Genomic DNA, 8,954 nt, shown 5'->3' on the forward strand with positions numbered 1-8,954 from the left:
CTTGTGCCCAGCAAAAAACTGAGGTAAGTTCTAAAAGGAGGGGAGAATGCATAGAAGTCTGTGCCACAGACCTCCACCACCCCCCGTGCCATATACATGTGTATTAGTGTCCCAGACAAGGTGCAAGACCCTAAGTGGATATCCACTTTGGAGTCCCTAATTACCGGGGTGGACCCCTCCCAGTCTATTTTGATGAAGACCTTATCACCTCCACACCCATCTGCAGAACCAGACAGTGTCTCAAAAAGTGCAGGCTGGAGCTGCTTGTTAAAAATGCAGGCTCCCACACTCACTGGATTCACATCTCTGGGGGCAAGCCCTGAGAATCTGAAATTCATGCACACTTTCTAGGTCATTCTTATACACGCAGAAATTTCATGTCCACTATTTAGTCTATTTCAGAGAAATTAGGGGAAGAACACTTCTACACTGCTAGACCTAAGGATAGTAGAACTAACAGTAATTGCTGAGTTGGAAGGAGAAGGTGTTCAGGAGATTGTTGGTTGTGACATCTGGGAGTGCCACTCACAAGTTGTCTAGCACAGCATTGGGGAACTGGTCCAAGATTTTCAAGACAAGATCTGCTGTCTTCTGGTAATCAAATAAAAATCAGTGGTCATTGGAAGAGAAAGTAGCCTTCTCCACTGCAGCAGGGAAGGGAAGTGAGGAGACCACCATGAGTGAAGAGCTGACCACCCCCAAGAAAGCCAGAGAGCTGCTGGTGCCCTCTGAGAAAAGGAAGAAGAGGAAGAAGAAAAGAAGGTGAAATGAAGGTCGAGCACCAAGCTCTTCGCCAGACTGAGGTTTAGGAAGCAAAGACTCACCATCCATGTAAGTTGATTCCCAGCGGGGACAGAACTACCATTTGGGGAAGGAGACATTTCTAGAAGCCATAATGCAGGAATGTCACCAGGGACACTAGACGTCCTGAAACGTGAGGGACCACCCACACAATGAAGAGTTTTCTCGAGTCCTTGGGATATTGATGTTTACAATCATCTAAGCTTAGAAACAAACTGCATTTTACATAAAAACACGAAGCATTTTTGAACTGTTTAAATATAAACTGAAATTTTCAGAAGTGCAACTACCAAGTTTATTTCAGAACCCTCCCAAGAGCTGTTCACAATTTCAGAAATACATGTCAACAGCGGCTCCGCTCATGGCATCCGACTTGTGATTGGAAAAGTTCAGTCTGCATTTGTGGTCCCATTCATAGTGACTTTACACGTATGTCCAAGCTTCTGAGCTCCTTGTTAGGTTGTCTGGTTAGACATGCCTGAGCCTTTATATTTTTTTAAGTGGAATGTATTATTATCAATTCCTTTCCTTATAGTTTCTATTTATATTAATGTTAGAGTAATATAAGGATTTTTTAAAAATCTATTTCAGGAAAATAAAGGAAAGTTACAAATGACAAAAAGTATTTGTCATTACGGGGGCCGTGGGGGGTCTGGGGAGAACCTCTGCCCAGATGTGGCCCGAGGTTTTCCTTGGTATGAATGAGGCTGCTCATGACCCCTAGAGACTCTGTTGCAGCCACAGCTGATCTGGTTTACGAAGGCTTGTGCCCACCCAGCTGGCTGCCTTCAGTTTACTCTGGAGTTGTTGGCATGGACCCAGCTCTCAAAACATCCCCCCGATCAGCATCCATTGTGCAATTTATCTCAATGTGGCTATAGACTCAAGCGAGAACAGGTAGATCGCAGGGAACAAGCTTGGTCTATGCAGCAGCAGAAGGATATGGATTTGAGCGGCCCCCTGGCAGAGGCTGTTTCCGACTCAGGCCTCCAGTTGTCCCCTAGGCCTCTCTCAAGAGGATTCTCGTCAATTTGACACAGTCATTTTGTTACCAGGGACATTCCGACACACTCGCTTTACTCTTGTTTTGACCCGAGGACATTTTGATATGAACAGAAACCATCAAGCTTTCAACTGTGTTTATCACCAAGTAAGGAATGAAACAGACACTCACCCACACCTGGGCCTCACTGTGTCTCATATCATGCTGAACCCCTACCCTCTGGGAACTGGAATGCTTTAAGGCTCAGGAAAGGCTGCTGTACCAATTTATTTGCAGTAGAAGTCTGTTTTTAGGCTGGGCATGGTGGCTCATGCCTGCAACCCCAACACTTTGGGAGGCCAAGACAGGAAGATCACTTGAGCCTAGGAGTTCAAGAGCTGCTTTGCAACACAGCAAGACCCCGTGTCTAAAAAAAAAAAAAAAAAAAAAAAAAAAAAAAAAAAAAAAAAAAGCTGGGCATGGTGGCACAAGCCTGTAGTCCCACTGTCCCACTTACTCAGGAGGCTGAGATGGAGGGATCACTTGAGCCCGGAAGGTTGAGGTTGCAGTGAGCTATGATCATGCCACTGCACTCCAGCCTGGGTAACAGAGCAAGACCTTGTCTCAAAAAAAAATTTGTTTTTACAGTTGGTATAGGTCTTTCTATATAGAAGAGACACTCAAAATGATCTCACCAAAGTTTCCAGAATCTCTCATTTCACCCCAACACCAGAGGAGAGGAAACAGGGCTAAGAAATGAAAGACCCCAGAAAGAAGTGTCCACTTGGCTGATGCCAGCTGAGCAGGAAATACACGGAAGGCTCGGCAGGGTGACAGGCAGATGGGCTGCTCTTACCACCTGCCCCTGCCTCACGGTGGAGAAGGTCAAGGAGCTAGATGCGACCCTCTAGCTCAGTGGTTCTCAACCCGGGCCTCACATTGGCATCACCTAGGAAGCTTTAGAAAAGTACAGATACCTGAGTCCCACCCCAGAAATTCTGCTGTCATCAGTCTGGGGCGTAGCTGAACATGGGTCTTTTTAAAATCCCCCCTACATGATTTCAGTGTGCAGCCCCCATCAGGAGCCTCTGCTAGAGCTGCCATCACAGCCTCTCCAGCACGCCTTTATTCTGGCATTTTCTATTTCTTCTTACTCCAGGGAGAAGGCTTTGGTGATTAATTCCCAAGCAAAACCGTTCATTACTCCTTAATAAGATGAATTTCTATCACCAACAATAAGTCAGCCTGTCTCTGCCTCCCTTCTGCTCTTGAGAAATCTCTGTGTGTCACCCTCTTTCTTCTCTTCAAACTCGTTTATACAGCCATCCTGGCCATCATAAGGTTGTTGTTTTGTTTTGGGTTACTTTTAGGGGGTGGCATGGGGAGGGGGTCATTGGGGAGGCGGCTAATGGCCAATACATCAAATTTAACCCAAGCAGATGTTGCAGAACTGGGAGGTTTGAGGCACTTGAGGAAGTCTTTCTAGGGCCTGGCTCTGAGCAGGACTCCCCTAGAGGGCCCTGGGGAGCCTTGGGCTGGCACTTGTGTTTGCAAAGTCCAAGGAAGAAACCACCTCTCATGCCTTTCCCTTAGGGGTTGTGTGACATCCATCCAGCTGTAAGTCAAAGTTACTTCCCCTTTGTTTTATGTTCCATCTTGATTTTAAACTATTATTACATCTGTTAGAGAGTACACTGTGCCTCCCAAAATGGATATGTTGAAGTCCTAATCCCCGCTACCTCTGAGTGTGACCTTATCTGGAAATAGGGTCATTGCAGATATGACGAGTTAAATTAAAATATGGTCATACTGGAGTAGGGTGGGCTTTTAGTCCAGGGCAACTCATGTCCTGATAAAAAGATGGCCTTGTGAAAACACACACATGAAAATGCCTTGTGAAGATGGGGGGTTGGAGTTGCCCAGCTGTGAGCCAAGAAACCCCAGAGATTGCCAGACACTCCAGCAGCCAAGAGAGGGGCAGCAAACAGATTCTCCCCCAGAGCCCTCAAGAGAGCACAGCCCTGCAAACCCCTTGATTTGGTACTTTCAGCCCCAGAACTGTGAGATAATAAATTTCTGTTGTTTTAAGCCACCCAGTTATAGTTTGGGTACTTTGTTACAGGAAATACAACACCCAGTTATAACGCCCACTTTTGTTTGTTTAAAAAAGGCAGGAAATTGTGGTAGTTGAGAGCACAAGCTTTAGAGATCAGCAGAGCTGGGCTGCACTCCCTCCTTGGCACTGACTGGCTCTGTGGCCTGGGTAAATAACTTGACACTTCTGAGCCTCAGTTTTTTCACCTGTGGAATGGGGCTAATAGAACCCTACATAGTAGAGCTGCTATGAGACTTGACATAGATGACATCTGAGAATGACTCACCCAGGGCCTGGTACTCATAGCCTGAAAAGCATGGGGCAAAGATGGGGCTTTGGGCAGGGGATTAGGAACATTAAGTCCACCTATGCGGAGGCACTTGGCTTAGGCCCAGGCCCCAGGTGGCGGGTGTCCATCTGGATAGTGGAAGGCAGAGGTCGGGCCAACTTCCTGCCTTCCTGAGATGCTGTCAGGGTGGAGGAGATGACGTGTGGAAGTCCTTGGAGTGAGCTGCCACGTTAGCACCAAATCACCAGCACGATCATTCCTTCCATTTGTCACTGACGATTTTATAGTCGCAACAAGACAGTTTTCAGTGTGAGGCGGGCCTCAGTTCACACCCCAGGCATCTGGCTGTCATGCAGCCACAGCAAACCTATTCGCTTGGGTCTTACTGCTTAATTATTGCAACTGGCATGGCTTCGGGTACCTTGAGAGCCCTTGGACATATACCATACGTTCTGGGCAGGAAGCTCTCCTGGCGTGAGGATGCTGCTTGTCACTCCAGCAGCTCCCCTCTGTTAAGTGGTGGATCTTCTCCAAATGCGCAGCCCCAAATGCACAGGAAGCCAAAGCTTGGCACTCAGAGCTGCCAGTGCCTTGCTCACGCAGGACCACTTGTCAGCCAGGCCGTCCAGCATTTGTCACCAGTGGTGATTCTCAGCCTGGCAATGGGAAGAGGCAGGCGGATGGTGAGCCAGGGAGCCAGTCTCATGTTTCACATTCTGGGAAGCCAGATTTGTACAAAATAGATCGAATCCAACAGTCCTTCATCCCCCAGGTCCAAGTGAAGAGCTACGTCCTGTGCCCATGCAGGTTGGCTCTTGGTATAGAGCCAAGGAGAGCTTGACTCCTTCCATCAACCAACCTATATTTATTGAGCATCTACTATGTGCCAGGGGCTGTGCTCAGCCCTGGTGATGCAGAAATGGGGAAGACTAGGGGAACCTCAGGAAGCACTGCATGCTCAGGCAGGGACAGCAAGATCAGGATCTGGGATGACGAGTCAGCCACCGAGGAGGTCAGGCAGGGATGAGTGTCCCTGAGCCTCATATGCCTGAGAAGAAGCCTCTGACAGAGCATCCTGCAGCAGGGCATGGGAGGGGGCCACTCCAGTCTATTAATGATACTCAGTTCACCAAGTTTTTACCAAGCCTCTACTATGGGCTGGGCATAGTAGAGGCTTGGTAAAAACTTGGGTTTCATTGATAAATGTTTAAAAGATCTCAGCCCTCACTGAACTTATATAAAGACCTCAGAGAATCCAAAATCTGCAAACTGAATACATTCTAATCCCTCTTGATCTGAGAATATTCCAGGGAAACTGGGGCTCTACGAAACCCAGCTTCTGCCTCACAGATTGGCCATGAGGCAAAGGACTTGGGCTGCCAGTGGCTTAGGACATCTTAGCTGCCAGCTTCCCTTCTCTGCCAGCAGCACGGGGGTTGGTCAGAGGTAAAACGAATGGGGGTCAAGTGTCAGTCATGGTACCCTGGAGTATTTCCAAATGCCTGATGCCAGGAAGTCTTGGCCCCAATTATTTTCTAAGGGACTAGGACAATATCTTGACTTCTCCAATTCCCAGTGTGGCACAAAGGGTCAATACAATACACCCTCTCTTTCATAGAGCCTGGTCACCTAAGCTGGAGTCCATAGACCATCCCAGAACTTTCTGCTGAAGGGCTGCCATCCAGCACAGACCACATAGGCCTATTGCATGGGAGAATCCAGCTTGTGCCTGTAGCCTCCTGGAGAGATTGGAGGGGCTGCTGAGTGGCCAGACACTGAGAGAACCTACAGGATTTTCACTGGAAAGATGAACTAGCAGTGGCTGGGCTGGAGGCACAGGGAGATGGGGACAGCACCCAGCAGGCAGGGCCCTGCTGGTCTGTCTGGGTTTGCATTTCACATCCCCGTGCTGAGGTATTTGGAGAGGAGGCACTTTCTGAAGGAAGAGGAGTAAGGCCTTTATCTTCAGGTGTGACCAGAGAAATATTCCTCCCCCAGGAGAAGAAAGGGAAAGCAAAAGGCAAATGAAATTTCAGAAGTGAATCAGGAATGAAAGACCAAGAATCTAGCTCAAGATATGTCAACTTGGATATTTGGGGCCAAATAATGAATTCTTTATTGGAGAAGGCTGTCCTGTGTACTGTAGAAAGTTTAGCATCATCTCTGGTCTCTGCCCGCCAGATGCCAATAGCACCCCCAACCCTCACCAAGGTTTGCAGCCAAAAATGTCTCCAGATGTTGCCAAATGTCCCCCAGGGCCAAAATCAACCCTGGCTGATCTAGCGGTTTCCCTGGGCAATCTTCCCCAGTATCTGCTTGACCAACTTTTAGCATGGCTGCTTTGTCTCAGCCCAGGATTTTCTAGGTTTTAACATGAAAACTCCCATAGCCCCTCAGTCCTGGGCAAGCAGGGACAGTCAGTCACTCTACCAACCCCTTCGCCCTCTGTATGAGCCCCTTGATCAATGCCCAGCCTGTCCTGCCTCACCAGCACACGCAGCCGCTTTCATTCGGCTCGCCTTCCTGTCCTCCACAGCACTCTCCCCTGAGCAGCCTGTCGAATTTAGATGACTGTTGACTGCCCTCTCTCTCCATTTAAACTCCCTCAAGGTGGGACCACTGTCTGCTTTCTTCGCCGATCTGCGCCGCCTGCCCAGAAAAGTGCCTGGCACAAGGCAGATTTGTAACAAATGTTGTGTGAAGGACCAGGACTCCAGAAACATTATGGGCTTCTGTGACCTTTACGACTTCTCCACTGTTGCTTATTTTCATTTTCCCAGCATGTTCTCTGGCAGTGACCAAGAAAACTCTTCCCACAGACAGGGCCTGTGGGTGTGTCTTTGGGGACAGCTGAGACCCTGTGTCTCTTTGCTGCCAGTCAGGGAGCAGTGGAGGAAAGAGACCCAAGGAGTCAGCAGCCTGGAATCTGGAGAAAGGAGGCAGGGTCTGATATGAGGAAGGGGGCCTGGGGCCTTCAATGAGAGGCCACTAGCTACGATGATGTTGCCAGAGCCCACCCTCAGCACCATGGGACAGGTGCGTATCTCAGGCTCTGGCAGTGTCTGTGGCATATAACATCAACAAATATTTCCTAGGCTGAGCATTTACAAGAAAACACAAGACCTGTTGTGGTTAAGAGCTTGGGCTTTGGGGTCAGGCAGCATTGACTTCAAATGCAGGCACTGCCAGTTTATAGCTGCCTGACCTTGAGCAAACTCCTTCCCCTCTCTACGTCCTCGCACCCTCATCTGTCAGATGGAAATAAGACTGATACTCACCTCATAGGCATTACCGCCTTACTGTTGTGAGGATTAAATCAGATTACAAATGCAAATCCCTTAGCCTGGTGTACGGCACAAAATGAACACTGTGTATGTGGGGGAGAGAAACTAGAGATACTGTATTTTTTGTCAAATACTACATAACAAATCATCCTAAAATTTAGTGGCTTAAAAGCAGCAATAATAATTTATTTACATCTCTTACAGTTTCTGTGGACCAGAAATTCAGGAGTGGCTGGGCTGGGGGCTGTGGCTCAGGGTCTCTCATGAAGTTGCAGTCAGATGTCAGCCAGGGCTGTGATCTCATCTGAAGTCTTGATCAGGACTGAGGATCCTCTCCCAGCCTCACCTGTGTGGCTGACAAGCTGATGCTGGCCTTTAGCAGGAAGCCTCCATGCTCTCAATATCAGCTTCTGCACAGGGCTATTTGAGAATTCACAGAATATTTTGGCTGACTTCCCTCTGAACAAGTGATCCACAAAACAAGGTGGAAGCCTCAATGCCTTTCCTGCCCAGCCTTGGAAGTCACATATCATCAGCTCTGCCACATCAGCTGGCCTCACAGACCAACCCTGATGCAGCGTGGGAAGAGACCATATGAGGTGCAAAAATCAAGGGTCATTGGGGGGTACCTTGGAGGTTGTCTATCACCTGAAATTTGATCTTGAAATGGGGACTTGCTGCACTCAGACCCTAACAACCACGTTGCATTTCTGCCTCCCTCTGCTCATCCGTAAAATGAAGCGCATTGCTGAGCACAGTTTTACTAGTTCATTCAAGCATCTGTTTCCCAAGTTAGTCTGCAAGCTGCTTAAAGATAAGGACTACAGCTTCTTTATATCTCTATCTGTATCCTCACAACATCATCTCTATCCTCTCAATGCCTTGGTGCATGCTCAACGGATGAATGGAAAGACTGGATGCTCTTCAGCAGGGACCTACAGTTTCTACTTCATCCCTGAGTTCTAATGAGCCAAAGCCCAGGCAGCTCCAGAAGCTCCAGTGTTTGACACGCAACCCCACACAGGCGGAGGTTCTAGAGCTGTATGGGTATGGATGCAGCTCCAGAAGTCTGCAGCCTTCCAGGAGGGGGGCGTGAAGACAGAACTGTACCTCCCAATCCCTCCTGACCTGACTCACATCAGCCACCAAGCTTGGGTGGACAAGGTATTCCTCGGTATTAGGTTTAATCCCAGACATTAAGATTTGGGGTGATTTTTCTTTTAGGCTTTTCTATGTATTTCAGATTTACCACAATGAATGTGTGTTTGTTTAGTGCAGAGAGAAAAATAAGGAAAAATAGAAACCTCAGTAAGCTGTTGTAATTTTTACACTGGCTTGCTCAAGCAGAGTTCCAGATCCGGCTCTTCTGTAGGATACATTCACTGAGGGGTCACCTCCCCTGGGTTTCCTCACTGTTTGTTCAGGAAGACAATGACTAATCTGTAAAATGGGAAAGTTAACCTTTACTTTCTTCTCATTTTACACAGAATTGTTTGCAATAAT

At 48.0% G+C, this 8,954-nt stretch overlaps 1 long non-coding RNA gene across 1 annotated transcript, besides 1 other annotated feature; it reads right to left on the reverse strand.

Moving 5' to 3' along the window:
- Positions 1,747–2,176: an enhancer, noted in NCBI's record as "active region_7530". NCBI's record gives its function as "activates an Ori minimal core promoter by ATAC-STARR-seq in GM12878 lymphoblastoid cells {active_cell/tissue: GM12878}" and the evidence as "EXISTENCE:reporter gene assay evidence [ECO:0000049][PMID:35858748]".
- LINC00384 (long intergenic non-protein coding RNA 384) lies at positions 7,608–8,796 on the reverse strand. The gene is made up of 2 exons (NR_138041.1): positions 8,756–8,796; positions 7,608–7,871 (listed from the first exon to the last, which is right to left on the reverse strand). It is a non-coding gene; the product is annotated as a long intergenic non-protein coding RNA 384 (long non-coding RNA).

Source organism: Homo sapiens, chromosome 13 (assembly GCF_000001405.40).
Source record: "Homo sapiens chromosome 13, GRCh38.p14 Primary Assembly".
NCBI classification, from domain to species: Eukaryota; Metazoa; Chordata; class Mammalia; order Primates; family Hominidae; genus Homo; species Homo sapiens.